A 21,176-nucleotide genomic window follows, 5' to 3' on the forward strand; every position below is an offset into this window, starting at 1 on the left:
TGAAAATATCAAGTTAATCATCTCATGCAACTCTCAGTACTCAATATATTACCCTTAAAGTCACATACACATTAGAATGTACAGTGAAGCAGTGATTAATGAAATATCATTTCCTAATAGGGCAAAAATTGTGTCTGGAGATACACATTTTTGCTTTTGTCTTTGTTTTTTACAGTCTTGGCATATCTTGTGTATTTTTAAGGGAATAATTTTATAAAATGAAAGTCTAAATCTTGGGAGTGACTTTTTATTTTAGAGGAGAAAATTGGATCTTGCTCAAGCTGAGATATATTGGCATTAGTCCTGCTGTGGTATATCTTGAAAAGACAACAGAAATACAACTCGACTATTATACTGCCATTCTGTTTATGCAAACTTGCAATATTCTGCATGCTGCCTGGTACATTCCAGAGACAGGAGGAGCCAAACAAAACACTTTAATAACATTAGCTCATATGAATTCATTTTTTATACAGTGCACATGGAATGAAATGTATAATCTTATCAGAATTAATTGAAATCACATGCCAAAAATGGAAATACGGTTCATTGTCTTTAATTTGGCCAAGTGCCATTTAATACCAAAAACATTTCACACAACTTCATTATTTATATAGTGTATCTAGTGGGCATCAAATGGGATAATATATATTAAAAAAGCTAAAAACCATCCTAAAATGTAAGGTTTTCATAATAATAGCTCCCTTTGACTCAGTGTATTTTAAAAGGAAAATGTGGTATTTGTGTAGTACTTTGTATTGTGAACTTCCATTTGGTTATTTCATCAATGAGTGATTCTAAACTGTCTTTGTGAAATCTATTGATATGCTAATGCTACTGCAACTTGCAATATATAAAATGACATAAAATCAAATATGTTTAACATTAGAATATTTTTTCTCCAAATAATTCTGAAAGAAAGGTAGAGGAAACTTAAAACTTAAGACAAAACTGATTTTAAATAAATTTTATGAATGTTTAAAGATAATATTGTAAGGTAATTAATTCCTCATTTTGGTCTCTGCAAATATTTGAAATACAATGCTAGGAAATTGTTGGCACTTGGATCCTAATGTCATCACTTTTCAGATCCAATTTCTAACAAATATAATCATTGCTAAGCACAATATGGGGAAAATGGCACTGGTGGGTTAGGTCATGACTATATGCAACAAACAATACAATTAACATGTTGGTACTTAGATGAAGAAAAGTACACTTTTCTTGCTCTGAAATATATCCAATTCTTACTAAGACAACTGAATTTAAAATTGTGTTTCCAAACACAATTTGGGTTCACCAGATTCCATGGTGCTGTTTCTTTAACCCTGGAAGATAAGCCTATTTATCATCTTGCTATACCTCACCATGGGTTCTTCCAATTCCACACTCTGCCTTGCAGTCTTACTGGCAGTATTCTGACACTTATTATGCAGTTCTGGGCACCCTAACCTTAGTGACCTGACCTCTTGGTGAGGGGACTTTTGACTTTGCATCCCAATCTTTCAGGATAACCATAAGGCACTTCACAATTGAATTCTGATACCTGCCCATTTACAACTACCAGGGAAAAGTCACTTGGGAGTCCAGGTGGGGGAGTAGTTTGATCAATTAATAACACTCCAGCTGCATCATTTTCCAACAGGAAGAGCAACTCTATTGGTCAACATCTGACTATTCAAAATTCTCCACTTACAAGAATATCTCCTGTCCTTAAATTCAAGGACTTAGTTAAAGCAGTAAGCAAACCCAGCAGGAAGTCCTCTTTGAAGTGCAGGAGCTCAGATATGCAAAAGTCTTGATCAGCACATGCTTGAAAAGTGCTTACTCTTCTCCCCTTTGGGATTGGCCATTAACTCAATTCTGGACATTCTCAAATAAAGCTGTTTTTCAGGTTGCTTCAACTTCAGAGTCAATAAGTGAGTGGCTTTCGTCAACAAGGGTTAATAAACACTTTCCTCTGCCTCCCGCCTCCTCACATTCCAAAGTGGACTCATTTAGCATGAATACATTAGCATTTGTAAGGGACAGCCTTACAGTTATCTACATGGAGTTCCTGGGATTACTGCAGTCTTTCTTATTTATTCTCCCTGCCTTCAAATCTCTTCCTGCTTCAAAAGATCCTACATATAACTGCATGAAAAATCTTCAACAGTCACCTCATTCTATGACTTGAGAGCTTCCCCAGGGGTCCATGTCCCATCTTATTGACTCTGCTCAACATCTCCCACCGTTCTCTCTCAACATCCCATTATTTTGACACCTCTTTCAACATGCTTCAGTGTTATTTGTCTACTCCTGGTGTCATTATTTCTGCTGTGTATATTTTTTGCCTCTGCTATAAGTTGCATTTGCATTACAATTTTTAAATTTTAAAATTGCCTTCCTCCAGAAATTCTGCTGTGGTTTACCTACCTCTGACTCATCCCCTTTCTATTCATTATATCCTCCACATAAATATATGAAATTTTACCCTATTATCTTTAAGCTGTTCTTTAACAATAGGACAATATTAATAACTACCATTTTCCAAGTCTTACTGCATTCCTTCACATATTATTTTTTATCATAGCAACAATCTTCTGAGGTAGATATTATATTTATTTTATAGAAGAGAAACTGAAGCTTAAGGAAGTTAAGTAAGTTTATTAAGGTCACCCACATAGGGATTACCAGGGCTGGGATGTGAACCCAGATTTGGAACATCATACATAATTACTCTACTGTGCTTCTGGCTACTCAAGACACTAACCTTTACTAAACACCTAGTAGATATCGGATTCCACAGCTAAGTGATGGAGACAATAAGAGCATAGTCTCTGCCTGTCCCCCGGTTTCTCACAGCCTGGTGGAAGAAAGGATGTGGATGTCATGAGAGCAATGTGATAAATGTTCAAACATGTGGAACTGCACGGGTAAATAAGGGTGACTTATGAGAGGAAGCGACAGCTGAATTTGAAGTGGGAAGAAGGAGCTTGCCAGATAACAAGGAGAGAGGAAGTGGCCTTCTAGGTGCAGGGAAGTACCAAAACAAAGGTGTAGGAGCAGGAAGGGTCTTTAAACGTTAGGTTAGGTAAGGGCTCTTCACCCAGAGTGGCCAGAATGCAGGACTCGGATTTAGAGTGGTTGGAGGAGGATTCAGAGGCCCTGGAGACTTATAGCCCGAAGGGCTCGTATGAAGACTAAGGGGGTAGGACTTTATCTTCTGACATGTAGTTGGCTCTGTAACATATTTCCTCTGAATTACTTTCCCTCCTGATTAAATCATAAAGGCTTTGAGGACATCTAAGCTCTTCTTATTCCCACCTGGATACTCTTCCATATAGAAAGGGAGTCATCTGTTTATTGGAGGCATTGGATGATCTGCTGTTTTTCTTGGTTGAGACTTGGTACCACCAAGAAGCAGTCAGTGCCCTCATTTTGGGAAGTATTAGATGCCTCCTGAAGATGTGGAGTCCTCATCCCAAAAGAAGTTAGATAGCTATTTTTCAAGTAGTGTGATACTTGTGGAATCTGTATTAAAAATCCTGATAAGGAGCAAAAAGAGAAAGAGGCCCAACAGTAGCTTTAAAATAGAGAATGATCCTAGAGAAGATAAAACAGAAAGATCCAGAAGGGGACAGGTGCGTCATAATCAACATGCATCAGTTTTGCGTTGGTGAAGGGCAGTATTTTTATTATCGTTAAAATGAGATCACTTTTTTGCACTAGGCCAGTGTGAAAAGAAAGACTTCAGGAAGGTGATGTAAGTTTAAAAGTGAGGGGAAAATCAGAAAAAAAAAAAAAGAAAAGAAAATCCAGGAGTTATATCAGTAATTCTGTGAAAGACAGCATAACATGGGTGTGTTCCTGCAGCTGTAATAGAGATATTATCCTTCTTGCTAATGAAAAGAATGGGTGGTCTTAAAGATATTTATAACCATGCAGTTTGAAGCTCATGCTGTTTTAAGTGTGAGAAGAGATTTCTTGGGGCTCTGTTTTGTAGGGAATTATTAAAATAACCTGGGAAAATGAAATTGCAGCACTCCAGAATGTACCCTGGCCATCTACCACCTTACATGGAATGAGGGTGTCTTTGGCCTAGAGGGCTCTATTGTAGAAAATGTGACAACTGTCCTCTTCTAGAGTTTCAAAACAGTGCTATTTAGTGATCCAACCTTGGCAGGTCAAAAAGGAGAGAATCAATGTCCTAATTCCAAGTTCATCCATCTAGAATGCGGCTTAAAATAATACAGAGAAATAAAATAGCTGTGTAGAATTCTTTTAACAGCAAAATCCTATGCCAAGGTTTAAAATTCAATAAATGAAGTGATGGAAAGCAAATGTTTAAAAAATGCGATATGGTTGACTATTAAGTTTCCAGGACAGGCTGCTTGAGTTCAGATACCTGTTCTGCAGCTCACTAGCAGTGTGACCTTGGGGACTTGATCAAAATCTGGCCTCTGTTTCTTCATCTGTAAAAGAAGGATAAACATGGCATCTGCCTCACAGCATTGTGAAAATTAAATGTGTTACTGTGCATTAAGCACTTGGGACAGTGTTGGCACACAGCAAGTCCTCACTAAATGTTAACGTTACCTTTTTTTGAGTCCGTAAATCTCTTTCAAGAGTATAAAGATTTGTAAAAGAGATGCATTTGAATTTGTAATATAATTGTTTTTAAAATGATTAAGATGATAGGTTGAACACATGAATGTATTTAATACTTTTAACAACTCTATCTATTGGTACCAGAGATTTGAATTTCTCCCTCTCTCTCTCTTTCTGTCTCTCTCATTCTATGTATTCTTTTTTCCCTTCTTAACCCTAGTTCACACTGTAGCATGTATAGGAGGGTAGGAGGGTAGGAGGGAACTGGCCACTACACTATGAGAATTTAATACACACATGTACACACAACTTAAAACTTTTCTCAATACATATCACCCTCCTCATCACCCATACTTTCTCTGCACATACTGAATCAGAAAAACTGGGGGTACCAAGGTACCTCCACTTATAACCTACTGCCTAGATTTTCATACACATTAAAGTTTATGGATAAATGTCCAAGATTCTTAAGTAAGGTTTAACTAATACTGAGTAACCAAAGTTTTATATGCCTTACTTTATAATACCTATTTGGCACCTAAACATGTTGACTCTGAATTTCAATTCTTTCATTAAATTAATTTTTTCTCTTCATAAATTGGACGCTTTTGGTGGCAGGTAGAACACACATGTCAAAATGAGCCATCACACATATTTATGGGTATCGTCTTTAAGACCCTTCCTCTACCAATCTCATCAGGGTTTAGGCAATAATGTTAATCTAAGGATATGGTCATTTTACTCTTAAAAACCAAAAGAAAATGTTTTCTTTTATACCACGGAAGTGGATCCCTGTGCTGAGTGTAATTTCTATGACTCTGATTTTTGCCTCTGGGTCATCTTTTCTTGAAATGCTCCCAAGATGAATATTTGCCTGCAAGGTCATCCTCCGACATGTCGTCCAGTTTGAATCTCAGCACTCTAAAACAGGGCCCTTTCCACAAAAGCCTTCAACTTCAGAAAGAGCTGCCTTTTATGTGGCTCATGAATATGGTCTAACTGCTTCAAGCTCTCCTCTCTGACCTTTGTCCTATTTAGTGGAGTTCAATTGTCTCCCACATTTATTTAAGCTAATGATAGAAGCATTAAGCAAAAGTTGAAAAAAGGGACAAATGGATTCATCATGAAAATGCACTGCGCCATAAAAAAGCCCATACACCAAGATGCTATTCACAGTGAGTAGTAAATTTATGAAACTCATTGCCTCAAGGTATTATATGGGCTATTATATATAAATAGGTTCAAGAAGGACTATAGCAGGTTATTAAACAAAATTGGGATGCCAGAGGTGGAAGTGGCGAGCTCATCCCTTACCTTTGCGAACATCGTGGAGCTGGGCGACATTGCTTAGTGCCTCAGTCAGAGAGTTGCTTGACTGGAGTGTATTACTTTCCTGTAGCCTGCTGGAACAAATTGCCACAGACTTGGTGGCTTAAAACAACAGAAATTTATTCTCTCACAGTTCTGAAGGCCTGAAGTCTGAAACCAAAATGTTGACAGGGCACATTCCCTCCAGGGGCTCTAAGAAAGAATCCCTTTCTGGACTCTTCCAGCTTCTGGTGCCTACCCCAGTATTCTAATCTCTGCCTCTGTCTTTACATCATCTTCTCTATGTGCCTGTCTTGTGAGGATATGTGATTATATTTAGGGCCCAGTTGAATAATCCAGGGTAAGCTCCTCCTCTAAGTTCTCTAACTTACTCATGTCTTTTGCCATGCAAGGTAGTATTCACTTTCACCATTCACGGTTGTATTCACAGAGTCCAGGGATTAGGACCTGGACATATCTTTTGGGGGGCCACCATTCAACCCACGATAGGGAGGGATCATCCTTCTAAGCATTCTATGGTTTGTTTTGTTCCTCATTCTTCTTTATAATTGGAGGGTTACTTCAGTCTAAACTTTCATTCCAATAACAATACCACAAACTTTAACTTTCTGTTAAAAAAAAAAACCTTTCTGTTTCTCTCCATTTCCTACATTAGTAATGAGCATTAGTTCTGCTGGATGTTAATAGTGGTTAAATGAATACAAGAGAAGCCACATGTTTCAGAATCCTGTTTAAAACAACATTTAATAGAATTTCTCAGAGGCTTGCTATGCCAGTGATCTTTGTGATGTTCTGAGAAGACAATATGGTGTGCTCACCAGACTCTTTCAACCACACACCCTCTAGCTAGTATTCCCTAGCATACATTTTGGGAAACTATGCTCTAAAACATAAGAATGACATAAATCAAACATCTCTACTTTTTTCCTTTTGGGACCAAATCTAAGCCTATGGCCCTCCTTGTTGCATTTGTAGCTAATAATTTCCTCACAATTATTTGAATTAATACAGCAAAAAGGAGGCTAGTTGTTCTTTGACTTAGCACGTTCCCTCTGGAATCAAGCAGATTCTTTTCTGTTGGGTTTTACATGATAGTCAATAGCTTTCCCTAGAGCCATCCAGCTACTATAATTGAAATATATACATAGTCTAAGAAAAACCCTATATGGGAGTCTGTGATTTTGCTGGCTCACTCTGGGTAGAGTGCCAATGAGCACGTGTATGCTCATCTTGACTGTTTCAAGTCAAGCTGCCAAGTTTACATTTTTTAGAGACTGAACAGCTCTTAAAAAGAATGCTATACCTGTTCCCCTAACATCTTTTTTCTCTTGGAGTTAGGTAAGAGAAGAAGAATATTATTTTACCAAATAGGTTCATATATATATATATATATATATATATATATATATTTTTTTTTTTTTTTTTTTTTGAAATGGTGTCTTGCCCTGTCGCCCAGGCTGGAGTGCAGTGACGCAATCTCTGCTCACTGCAAGCTCCGCCTTCCGGGTTCACGCCATTCTCCTTCCTCAGCCTCCCAAGTAGCTGGGACTACAGGTGCCAGCCACCAAGCCCAGCTAATTTTTTGTATTTTTAATAAAGACGAGGTTTCACCATGTTTAGCCAGGATGTTCTCTACCTCCTGACCTTGTGATCCGCCCCTCCTTCGCCTCCCAAAGTGCTGGGATTACAGGTGTAAGCCACCGCGTCTGGCCAGGTTCTTATATTTTTAAGTCTTTGAGTTCTCTTTTATTTTAAAATGTCCCCCTCCCCATCCCCCACCCAGACAGGATGTCACTCTGTTGCCCAGGCTGGAATGCAATGGTGTGATCATAGCTTGAACTCTTGAGCTCAAGCGATCCTCCCACCTCAATCTCTAGGACTGCAGGTTTATATCATCATGCCCTGCTAACTTTTTAATAAAAAAGTTTGTAGAGACAGGGTCTTTCTATAGTGCCTACGCTGGTCTCAAACTTCTGGGCTCAGTGATCCTCCCACCTCAGCCTCCCAAAGTGCTGGGATTACAGGCATGAGCTAATGCATCCAGCCTAAAATGTTCTTTATGAATGCTTTTTTATGTTCTTCATTTGGCCATCCAACAAATGCTCATTGAAATGTTCTAATGCACCAACCTCTGTGGTTGATTTAGGAGGGAAGGGTATGTGGCTCTGGATGAGACTCTGTGTGCCTTAAAGGCACTCTCAGTGGAGGATGCATGGCATGAAAAAAATGTATATACTGTGAAACACACCCCAATAGTGGTCTGAGAAATATGTTACAGCATGAAGGGAAAAGAAATATGAACTCTCTTTGGGAAACTAACATTTACTCTGGGTTGTGAAGAATGAAAAAGGTTCATTCGCTGTGATAAAGTACAATCTAGGATGGAAACCAAGGCATACGTAGGGAAGCAGTTATAGATGGGTATGTTGTATCTGAGGAATAATGAGAAGTTCAGAGTTACTCCCCAGAGGTAAAAGGGATGTGGTGCTGGAAGGAGGGGAGGTTAAGGTAGGCTGATTTCCAATAGGGAAGGATTCTGATTGCCCTGGCAGGAAGCTTAGATGGTATTTTGCAGGAAATTGGGAGCCTTGGGGAGGGTTTTGTATTAATACAAAGCAGTGACAAGATGAGATTTTGATTTTAGAAAGACAATTCTGGAAGTCAGGGCACATGGAAGCCCTCAAATCTACTCTTGTTAACCTAGCTAGAATAGTTTCAGTTTAAAATTATTAAAAAAAAAAAAGAAAAGAATTTGCTAGATTACTAGTAAAGAAACTTAGTAATAATCTATTTAAAAGGCGAACAGACTCTAAACAAAGGCAGTGGTATCTGAGATAGAATTCAGGGAAAGGCGGATGCTGACTCAAAGGCTTCCATGTAGTCAGTTGGGTGGATGGTGAAGATAATAAGGAAGAGAGGCAAGGAGTGGAGCTGCTTTGGGGTGGGTAGAGAAGTACTAGATTGTGAATAGGAAGGAATATAATCTAGTCTTTGGTGACAGAGACTATGGATTTTCCCTCAGCCTCCACTCCACTCCCTTTCAGCGTGCCTGGATGTACGATACCGCACTATGATGCAGTACTGCTAAAATCTGCATTTCCCAGGTTCATTTGCAGCTGCTTGTCAAATGTATGCCTCTCTGAGATTTGGAAGATGGAAGTGCACATCCTGTGGCCAATTCCATGCTTCTGTTGTTTCAGCTGTTTCCCCTGGCAAGCTTGTCTTTAGGGGTGTTTGTTTCTTCTGCAGTAGCTGTAGTAGAGTTTCCAATGTCCAGTGTTTAGCTTTATAGTGTGGAAAGGCAGTGTGGGAAGCATTCATTTTGCTGGCAGAGGTTGTGGACAAACTGGCATAGTGGTTGGGGAGCTAGCAGCCTCTTGCTTCTCCAGCCCCCTTATCGTGGTAAAAGCAGTGTCTTCCACGGAGGCTCACTCTAGACTGTTGTTTTGGAAGTTGTTCCTGGGCACTCTGCTTAGGGCTTATGCCCCCAGAGCTTCCACAAATCTTAAAGCCCCCAGATCTACCCTTGTTAACCTAGCCAGAATGGTTTCCGTGATCTGCAGCTGATCCTTAACTAATTCACCTTCAAATGAAAAAATTTTATAAGAAAATTAAGTATCGATTATGGAGGACATGACCTTGTCTTAAACACCTTCCGGTACCCAGTGCCTAGAACAGTGGTTTGCACTTGGTGTTTAATAAATTTGTTAGGTTTCATTGAATTAATTGAACTCCCTGAACAATTTGTGCTTCTCCAAATAGTGCCATAGAATATATTTGGCAAACTCCCTAACTCTGATAGTTGTTTTACATGATAAATTGCCGATATTGTTAGTATCTAAAATGCTTTGATCTGAAATTTTTTTGGAATTTTCAGATCCATGCCATCTGGCTTCACTGACTCATGGAAATTTAATGTCTTAAGTCGTAGTCACCACCTGTTGTTTCTTTTTCTGTATTTATGCTGGTGAATCATATTTGCTTTCAATGAAAAGTAATTCTTTAGTAAAAATTCCACATTTACTCTGTCAGTAATGATCACTGACTGAGTGATCAGAGGAACAATTCAGCCTTCACTGGTTCTTAAATACTCCTGTTCCCCCCACTAAGTATATGACTGCACTTTGAGTTCTTTATCTACAACCAGACAGGGTCACACTCAACCCTTAGACTATTCTTATAGAAGAATGATTCATAGATTTTACCTGAATTTTGTTTTTATAATCCTTCTTGCATTGTAGTAGCATTCATGTCTGGTGTTCTATGCCAATATTGCTATTTTTTCCATATATTTTATTTCTTATGAACATTTGTAATCTTAATACTTTCCACGGTATAGTGCCCCCAAAAGATTCCCTACACACTCCTGTGCAAGAGGCCAATTAGAGGACACATGAGAAGGAGACATAGATCCTTCTCTAGTACCTATCAAAATATGTTTTGTAGCAAGCAGCGGAAACTCAACTCAAGCTGGATAAAAGATAAGTAGCCTATGTTGGTTGACAGGACTGAGAAGTACTGAGATAGGAAGGCTTCAGGTGTAGTTCAAATAAAGTTCTTGTTCTATTTCTTTGTGATTTTTTGGCTCTGCTTCTTTTGCATATTAGCTTCACCCTAGGCAGGCTTCCCTGTAGTTGCAGGAGAGATATCTACAAAAACGTAACAGCTTGTGATGTCCATTGCACAAAATTTCTAAGCCTTGCTCTGATTAGGCTACCCTCTGATAAGGGGGATGATTACATTGAAACATCCTCTTAAGCTACCCAATGAGGGAGATGTTAATGGATGTGAGGATGGAAACCATGTTATCTCTTCTTCCTGTGATCCAGTTTTGTTGTGGTCAGACCTAGACCCCAGGAAGACAATTGGGCATGTTCTCCACTATCCTTAAGGGCAGACCAACTCTTAATATATATTGTTGTATCATTTTTACTGTATATACATTTTTCTGTTTCCTCTGTTAACAATGACAAGCTTGAAGGAAGGTTTCATCTTGTTTGTACTTTTATTATTGATGCACACCAGCTACTACTGGAGTCCCCTCACTGTACATGTGGAGCCTTTCTCTACATGTCATGATGCTTTAAAAGGTTCTGATTATGTGATGATGCTTTAAAAGGATCATCATAAAATACATTTAGATGTATTTTACATAACCCTGACTTGGCTCTTGAGACATATTGAGCCAGAACTAGGCAATTAGTCAATCAGTAAACACATATGAAGTACTCCTGTGTGTGTCAGGCATTTGGTGCAGGTCAGAGAACATGGCAAGGAGTAGTGTCTCATTAAAATATTTCAAGGCACATATAAATGGATGATGTCATCTCCCAGGTCTGTGTCCCTTCTCCTGTCACTGTTGGAATTCTCCTTCCTCTCCTGGGTTTTCTTCCCAGGTTCTCAGTGCTATCGTGTATATTGCCCCATGTCCGTGATCTTCTACCGCTGTGGCTTGCCAGTGCTAGGAGAGCTCCTTTTTCTGTTCACGCAACCGTGATTGAGTGCCGCTGAGGATCCCACAATGACTGAAGCACACGATTCGCCTTGGGACTTCACAGTCTAGTGAAAGGCTTCCACATAAATAGCAATGTGATGAATGCCAGGATAGAAATAAGAATCAGAGATCCAATTCAAGCACTCAGAACAGGGCAGTTAAGGAAGATTTCTCAGAGACAGCGATGCCTATGAATCTTAAACAAAAACAAAAGCAAAAATGGGAAAATGTCAGCCAGGTGAAATGGCATTGCATGCAGAGGGAGCAGCGTGGCCAGAGGCCATGTGAGAGAAGCTGGCTGCTAGGGAAGAGTAAGTCCCTCTCCACAGCTGGGTCATTTCATGCGTGTGAAAAGTTGCTGGGAACAGCCTCATTTTCCATATTCTGATTCAAGCAATGTGGCTACCGTTTTTGGTGACCCTTAAATCATTAGATGACACCAAGATGAACAGTTTTCTTCATGAACATAAGAGGAAACTGTAACCAGAAAAGGCCTGGGAGTATCTTTCTGCTCAGCAGGAAAAACAATTCTGTCTCAAGAGCCATCCCTGCAGAAGGGGAAGTGGGTTAAGGCAACTCCTTGCAGAGAGTGACTTGAGAGGATGAGTAAAACATCTTCCCAGTGGGGTCTCCCTCCCTTTCTATCTGGCCACAAATTCTCAATAGTTAACTCACTAACTGACGAGGTCAATAAAAGTGGGACATCCTCTTCTATAGAAAGCCTCGGTGATCATGGTGATCACATAGCCCTGTCTGAAGAGTACATTAACTGAGATTAGCTCATTATCTTTGTGATGAACTTCAGAAGAGTTTCCGTTCAGTGGAAAAAAGAGCAGGCAGGGTTGGGAGAGGAGCAGCGAGGCCTCTAGGAGGAGAAACTCATTGAAATGGTGTCAGTGCTGCTGTCTCTGTGGGGTTGGTTGGTGTACTAGTTAGGGTTCTCTAGAGGGACATCCAAAGGGTGGATTTATAAATAAAAGGGAGTTTATTAAGGAGTACTGACTCACATGACCACAAAGTCCCACAATAGGCCATCTGCAAGCTGAGGAGAAAGGAAGCCAGTCCGAGTCCCAAACCTGAGGAACTTGGAGTCCAATGTTCTAGGGCAGGAAGCGTCCGGCACTGGAGAAAGATGTAGGGTGGGAAGCTAAGTCAGTTTCATCTTTTCATGTTCTTCTGCCCACTTTTATTTCAGCCACTCTGGCAGTTAAATAGATTGTCCCCACCCAGATTGACGGTGGGTCTGCTTTTCCCAGTCCACTGACTCAAATGTTAATCTCCTTTGGCAACACCCTCACAGACACATCCAGGAACAATACTTTGCATCCTTCAATCCAATCAAGTTGACACTTAATATTAACCATCACAGTTGGGTTCTGGGGTCCTGACTTGTCTTTCTCCACTTTTAGTTCTTTGCCTTTTGTGTTGGCCAAATGATGCTCCACACTGCCCAGTGATGTTCTAGAACCTGCAAATGTGTTCTTTCACATGGCAAAGGGGACTTTGCAGAGATTTGAAGTTGAGGATCTTCAGATGGGGAGATGATCCTGGATTCTCTGGGTGAGCCCAATGTAATCACAGGAGTTCTTGTAAGTGAAAGAGGAGGTAGGAGAGTCAGAAGAGGAAATGTGATGACAGAAGCAGGGTTGTGATGCAGCCAGGACTCAAGGAATGTGGGCAGCCTCTAGAGGCTGGAAAAACTCCCTTAGAACCTCCAAAGAGGATACAATTCTGCCAACACCTTGACTTTAGCCCCATAAGACCCATTTCAGACTTCTTATCTCCAGAACTGTCATATAATAAGCATATGTACCATAAACCAGTAAGTTTGTGGCAATGTGCTACAGCTGCCATACACCTCTCTTTACCTGATGCCCATGACCCGTGAGGTCACCCTTCCCGCACCTACCACCATCCTCCACACCAAGTCTGTTTGGTGTATCTAATTCTGTTGGCTCATTTTGGAATTGTGTCAAGGTCAAACCCTTAGCAGAGTCACAGTGGAGTTCAAGCCACAGCTCAGGGAAAACAGAGGAAAGGAGGGCCTGCACCGGTCAAGTCTGAGGCCTGAGGTGCAGCTCCACCAGAGTGTCAGAACACAGAGCAGCACCAAGGAGCAGAAGGAACCAGCTACGAGCAGGAATGGAGGAACCAGGAAGCGGCATTAGACAGGCATAGCCAGGAATATTTTCAGGCATGACTGAGAGATGTGTGTTTTCGCTGGGTTCCACAACCTGTGGCATACAGTGACTCAGGTATAAAGATATGACAACCCTGAATACCATCATGTCACAAGAGCTTTAGATAAATGCTTTCAATCAACAGAAAATGCAAAGAATCAAGAAACTTTATGTCCACCAAGGATACTTGGAGAAAGTCCCTAAGGGACAAGCTTCAGTCCAGTGATTTTAGACTCTATTCTCTGAACACAAGAGTATTGGTGAATTATGTTCTCAGCTCTCCTCGCTGTTGTATGTGTGCACTCACTGCAAGTAACTTACATCATTTTATTTGAATGTATTTTAAAGCAGTAGGTAGAATAGCAAAGGAATATGAAAACCATGAAATGAATGGACATTTTATGTATTCAGAGAGAGGAGCACCCACCACTGCCAGAAATACCATGTAAAAATTGGCAATTCGGAGGGTGCAGTATTTAGTATAGTAAATAAATAAATGACCAACATTGTGTAAACATGACCAAAAAGTGTATTGTAATGAATCGAAAATCAACAAAATTTTATTCACTAATGAATATCAACAAAATAAGTTCAACTGATGGGAATAAAAGATGAGAGCTCTCAAGAAATGAGAGCTTAAAGAAACAACAATTATATTTTCATATTTACACTTTTATTTCATTTAAACAGTTGATGAAGGCTCACATTGTACCCAAAAATGTCCATTAAAATTAACCTTACAAACTTTATTTCCCATTTGAAAGTGACACAGAACTAACCTCTATGAAAGATTAGCTAACATGGCTTAAATTATTCCCATAAACACTATAAAGAAGGGGTTTCTTTGGCTTTAAAAAAATTTTTGATTTTTAAAAAATCTTGAAAGGCATACAATTATATTTAGTTTTTAAAGAACATTCATCTTCATAACTCCTCACTACCAATTTAAGAAGTAGCTCAGGGAAAACACTATTACCATGTTTTTCAGATGGGCCTAGAGAAGTTAAGTGACTTGCTTGAAGGCAAAAAATTGTAGGATAAATTTAAATTGTAACAGATATTATTACCTCATTAAATCCTCACAGCATGAGATGAAGCAAATCAACAGTATATATATATACTTGTTCATTTTAATATTCAGGAAATGAAAGCCAAATTGGTAAAGCAACCCGGCTAGCAAAATGCAGCAACATAGAAGATTTTATGACTCATTGCCTTTTTCATTCATAAGTACCTAAGATGTCAAGATTTTTCTTCCCTTTAAAGAAACAGTTTGTGGCTGGGCGCGGTGGCTTTCGCCTGTAATCCCAGCACTTTGGGAGGCCGAGGAGGGCGGATCACAAGGTCAAGAGTTCGAGACCAGCCTGGCCAACATAGGGAAACCCAATCTCTACTAAAAATACGAAAAATTAGCCAGATGTGGTGGCATGCACCTGTAATCCCAGCTGCTTAGGAGGCTGAGGCAGGAGAATTGCTTGAACCTGGGAGGCAGAGGTTGCAGTGAGCCAAGATCCTGCCACTGCACTCCAGCCCAGGTGACAGTGTGAGACTCTATCTCAAAAAAAAAAAAAAAAAAAAGCAGTTTGTAAGACATCTCCTCCCTTTCTATTTTTCTGGGACTGAATCCCAAGTAAAATGGCTGCCAGAAGATCCAGCAGGGGAGTGCTGCTGCAGCCTTTGCTCAGCTGGGAGGCCCTCAATCTCCAGGGAGACAGATTCTGGGATAATGCCTGGAAAAACCTTCTTCTGAATCAACTGCAGTGTCCCTTCTTCAAGCCTGGATTCAAAGTCTCTGCAGATGGCAGCAGTTCTGCTCCTGAATTCCTTCAGAACACAGTCAAGCAAGGAGGCAGGTCAGAGAAAGGCCTGAGGTGACCTGCAGGCCTGGGGCTTTGTGTCAAAAATCAGGAGCTGGAAGCCGAAGATCCCATTCTGTGATAGGGATCATTCCTTGGGTTTACACAGGTCACATTAACAAAAAATAATCCATTCAGGAAACCAAGTGTTCTTCAGGTCAGCCTACTATATATCCATGAGAGAAAATGGATGTGTCCTCTAGGGCTCCACCTCAGCAGTTTCCAAAGTGCATTCCTTGGAACACTAGTCCTCTCAGGTAGCCTATGAAAGAAAATCCTGTGATAAAATGAGTTACAAAATGCTTCCACTATTACCTCACCTTGGAGATTCTAAAATGTACATGAACATGTTAAACGCTTTGTTTACACAAAATCTCTACCAAGGGCGGGTTTCATTATGGAAACTTTCCTCCCCTATAAAACCAAATATAAATGTGGGACACTGCATGTTAATTCATTGTTAGGACAGTTTCCCCCTAAAACTTTGTAGTGGGACTTTAGAAGAAAGATGATAGAGCATAAAGAAGGAAAGGCAAGATTCTTGCCATTCTAACGCTGCCTAAGAGTGGAAATCATAACACATCTTCGGGTATTGCGTTGTCAATCTGTAATAGGTGTAATACCTGCCACAACTCACTGTTTTGAGGATTTGCAGTTATAATTAAGCTTTACTGAAGCGGTAGAAAACAAAACAAAAACAATCAAAACCTCCTGAGCCACTTAGATGGAGAGTGAGACAAGATTATTTTTCAGAAATGACTTTAGCAAATGGTGTCTAATACTTTGCACATTTAAAAGATCACGTTATAGTAGTATTCATGTTTTCTTCAAATCTTAGGTGGAGTTCAAGAGTTTTAATCCCTTATATTAGATTATATGAGATATTATGTTATTATTATTATTATATTAATCCCATACAATATTTAGAGAGACAACAAGCATTTTGTAATAGCTTAAAAAAAAAGACCACTGAAGGTTGAGTGATGTGGAAACCATGAGAATATAGAGAGTTTATTTTCTCACAGCCTACATACATTGAGTTACTTTTCAAAGGCTGGTCTCATGAGAGAGGTAAAAATGTATTTGCCTAACTGCTATATATAGGATAACATGGAAAATATATTTCTGAGGATACTGAGCTGCCTGCCAAAGATTGTCTTCACATGTCTACTGACAATTAATCAAATTAGCTAGCTTAAAAACAAGTAGTTTAGAATAGCAAGCAATTCAGTAAGAGTATACTGACAATTTATATCTTTTGATATTTTCCTTCCATCTCATTTGCTGATGGTTGAGGGAAGCAGGAAATGTGAAGAAAGCTTGTGCATGCTTTATTGTTTCTGAAATAACTACTTTATTCACTAGATATTTTAACATCCATTCTGAATTATCCTCCAAGTTATTATTAATACTTTGTGGAATTAATAGTAAGACCATCAGTATCTTGTATTGTGTTAAAGTACTTAAATCTGTTAAGACAGACCTAGAAAGTTTGAGGGTAGTAGATTTTCAGGCCTAAATAATTAAAAAAATATATAGAACATATGAATTAGAGCTGTTATGGTCAAATTCTAATGCCTCCCAATTGTTTACAGAATGAGATGAGAACTCTTTGCTTTTGTGTTTAAGACTCACCACAATCTGCTTTCTCTCTGATTCCAAGTTTAGTTTCCACGGCTATGCAGCATCTTGTCTTACAGCAGCCAGTATCCCTCAGGCATACTTACGTTCCTCCTGTCACCACTTCCGTGCCATGCCTCGTTTCTCCAAACTCACCTCTAACTCTCTGAAACCTGTGACTATTACTGGGGGGTAAAACATTTGCCCCAGGTCACCTAGCAAGGAATGGGGAAAGCCACAATTCACAACAAGGCACTTGGCTTCTGAAGCCTACAGTTTGAACCACTCCATTGAATTTATAGAACACCGAAAGCATGGTATTGACAGGGCTGGACTTGAATCCTGGCTCTGTGGTTCCCAGCCAGGTGACTATGAGCTATATATTTGACTTCTATAATCCATAAAATGTTTTTTTATCTGTAAAGTTAAAATAATAATAGATTTTCCTTCATAGATTTCTGTAAAGATTAAATAAGGTGATCCCTGTAAAGTACTTGGTTCAGTGCCTGCTCTATAATGAGGACCCAATAAATGTCAGATGCTATTTTCACAACTTTATACTGTAAGATAAATGTGCATGTATATACATGTATATATGTATATGTGTATGTATATTTATATTCCCCCCCCAGACTGAATTGGTTGAATTTTCAAAGTGGGGAAATAGCCTGACTTGTTTTGCTAAATCCTCTTAGAGCATCAAAACCATTTCTTGAAATTGATAGGTGCTAAATATATATTTTGATGATTAATTGGTATTTATCTTTTATTCTTTGCTTTAAAATTGTCCAGTTGCTTATTAAGAGCACGACTATTAATGATTTATGCAATATGATAGGCGCACATTCTGTTAGAATGATCACTTCTCAATAATTTAAACATTTTAAATGATCCTTTGATACTTTGTTAACATTCAGTAAATATTTGTAGATATTTCTTTCTTTGACAAATAGGATAGCTAACAGTATTTATGTTTTCAATCTTCAGTCTCTTTTTTTATGCCATAGGAAATGTTTTGCTAGTGTTTTATCATAGCTGGGTTAGTATGGGGAATGAATTTAGTATTCACATGGATAGATAACACATGTGCTTTTCTAGGTGTTTCACTATCATTTAGCTTTAGCTAATAAGCACTTAAAGTCTTGTTGATTTTTCCCCAAAGACCCTTAGTCATCTATAACATTCTTGAATAATTGAGCTTTAAGTGGATGTTAATAGGGTTGATTATTTCAGAAATATACAGAAATGTCTTTACAAGATTAAATTTGAAATTTGTATTACCCCTAAGATACCAAGTTTTGAAATTCCCTTCTCAAAAACTGAAAGTTAAATAATACATGAAATAGAATGACTTGGGTTTTTGTTATTAGAATTTATATAGATAAGTTCTATTTTGTAAAAATATTCACCCTCATTGTAGAGCCCCTCTTAAAACAACAACAAAGGCAACAGCACCTGGATCCTAAAAATCGCTGCCAGTATAAATAAAATGCATCCGTAAGACTTTTCAAGAAGGCTTATTTTTAGGATATTCTCATTTCAAAGTCAACTGTTACTCTATGCTCTAAAGCTGTTTCCCTTATTTTAGATTAGCATATACCTGTTGACATCAATTAGTCATCTAAGAATTGGCTGACAATCATTTGGAAAATATCATCGTTCACACATTCAACACTTACAGAACCTAAGTCCATATTTTTGGCAGTGGCAACTGGATTTGGATAGAGAGGGATTGGAGTCTTTCCCCACCATTATCCTCGCTGCTTTGGAGGTAGTTTCAATAGAACGTGAGTGAATAGTGGGGGCAAAAGAAGGCAGGATAACATTTACAACTATTTTCTACTCATTCATAAGAAATATCCTTTTCTTTTCTTTGTTTTAGAAGAAATGGCCCACCATGCTCCAAGAGCAAAATATCAATAACCTCATATTTGTCATCTCTTATATCATCTTTTCTAATACCCACAGCAACCCTGTGAATTTAGTAAGTTATTATTATCCTCATTTTACAGATAAGGAAACTACAATTAAAATAAGTTAATTAACTTATGAAGATGACACATGATTAAATGAAAGAACTGAGACTTCTTTAATAGAGGTCTTTGCCTTTAAGAGCGATGCATTTACTACTCTGCATATTGCCTGAGCTATTCCACAGAAAGTGGAAAATAAAATCATTGGCAAGTTAATGGATACATCTTTAATGGTATTCATAATTGTAATTGTGCTACATGATAATAATGGCATAGCAGACAAGCAGTGCACATAAATGGCTGAAATTAGCATGACTTTGAAGCATAGCCATACTTAGTATTTCTGACATCTGGGATGAAGAGGAAAAGAGGACAGGGCAGAGTAGGAAGCTGCTAAGAATTCTTTCTAGATCTGTCACTCACAGTCTGCTTTTGGGTAACTGAAAACTTCATTTTATTTCCCCCCCTTCCTATCAAACTAGTTGAGAATTAGGTCTATGTACTACAGTATAAGATGGGCTGTGGGCTCAGGTCAAATCTACTGTTCTCTTAGAACAGGTTAGTTTCATCAGAGAGCAGTTGCCTCCACCCAACACACAGATATTAGCTAGGGATGTTTCCTTTTTGTACTTTAGTGGTGTTTTTCTCTTAATCCTGAAAGAGAGAGGTGATATGCAGTTTGTAGAGAACAAAGCAACCACAGCAGTTACTAGGTACAATCTAGAAGCAGTTTGCTTTGACAACACTCATCTCAATATCTGTGCTTCCACCTCCCCACCCAAGTTCTTCTTGGTTATCCTTTTCTAGACCTCTTAGTGAGAACTAGAGTCCTCTTCTTGTTCTAAGCCCTAACCTGAAGCATTCCCAAATTCTTCTAATTCTCAAATTATTTTAACCTCAAAGAAAACTTTTAATCCTTTAATATAGACCAAGATTCAGCAAACTCTTTTGGTAAAGAGCCAGATAGTAAATATTTTTGCTCTGAGGGCCAGATGGTCTCATTCCCCACTACTGATCTATGCCATTTGTACTGTGAAAGCAGCCACAGCGATATATAAACAAATGAGCATAGCAGTGTTTCAATAAAACTTTATTTACAAAAATAGATAGAGTTCAGGCTGGATTTGGCCCAAAACTCATAGTTTGATGACCCCCGATGTAGACCATCTCTCTCATTATATACTATGCTCTGGCATTAAATTCGAAAAAGGAGAAAGGTAAAACTGGCATTGGTCCTGATTCGGTCAGTCAGTAGTGAAATATCAAAGCACTTACAATTGGCTAAGGTTTGTACTCCCTGCTGCAGATTTAGGGATTAACTTAGACTGGGATTTTTGATTCCTGCTACTTCCCCTTCTTCTCTCCAGCAGAAAAAGAGCAGGACTATATAGGCACAGGATAATCCAAATTAGTGTTTCACTTATTTTGCAACTGAATCCATACTCTACCAAGAAAGCCCTTAGTAAACTTTCAACCTGGGCAAAGTTTACCTATCTACCTTCTCTTCTGAATCTTGTCTTGTGCCTTATCTCTCATTCTCATGAAAATTGGTGCGCTCATTCTATTTGCTGGGGGTCTTCCTTCATCTCCTCCATATTCCACACTCTTCCTCTTCCACTCCTTATCCTCTTCACAGAATATCTTCTCACTCTATTCAACACCAACACAATACCCTCAGAGGCTTGAAATTTACAAATTACACTTCTTCTTTATTTTATTTTATTACTATTATACTTTAAGTTTTAGGGTACATGTGCACAATGTGCAGGTTAGTTACATATGTATACATGTGCCATGCTGGTGTGCTGTATGCATTAACTCGTCATTTAGCATTACGTATATCTCCTAATGCTATCCCTCCCCACTCCCCCCACCCCACAACAGACCCCAGAGGGTGATGTTCCCTTTCCTGTGTCCATGTGTTCTCATTGTTCAATTCCCACCTATGAGTGAGAATATGCGGTGTTTGGTTTTTTGTCCTTGTGATAGTTTACTGAGAATGATGATTTCCAATTTCATCCATGTCCCTACAAAGGACATGAACTCATCATTTTTTATGGCTGCATAGTATTCCATGGTGTATATGTGCCACCTTTTCTTAATCCAGTCTATCACTGTTGCACATTTGGGTTGG

At 38.9% G+C, this 21,176-nt stretch overlaps 2 annotated features.

The window, feature by feature from the left end:
* Positions 1,125-1,740: an enhancer, noted in NCBI's record as "OCT4-NANOG hESC enhancer chr21:16614113-16614728 (GRCh37/hg19 assembly coordinates)". NCBI's record gives its function as "activates a minimal SCP1, AML or CMV promoter by ChIP-STARR-seq in naive and primed H9 embryonic stem cells {active_cell/tissue: H9 hESC(naive and primed)}" and the evidence as "EXISTENCE:reporter gene assay evidence [ECO:0000049][PMID:30033119]".
* Positions 1,741-2,355: an enhancer, noted in NCBI's record as "OCT4-NANOG hESC enhancer chr21:16614729-16615343 (GRCh37/hg19 assembly coordinates)". NCBI's record gives its function as "activates a minimal SCP1, AML or CMV promoter by ChIP-STARR-seq in naive and primed H9 embryonic stem cells {active_cell/tissue: H9 hESC(naive and primed)}" and the evidence as "EXISTENCE:reporter gene assay evidence [ECO:0000049][PMID:30033119]".

Source organism: Homo sapiens, chromosome 21 (genome assembly GCF_000001405.40).
Source record: "Homo sapiens chromosome 21, GRCh38.p14 Primary Assembly".
Taxonomy (NCBI): Eukaryota; Metazoa; Chordata; class Mammalia; order Primates; family Hominidae; genus Homo; species Homo sapiens.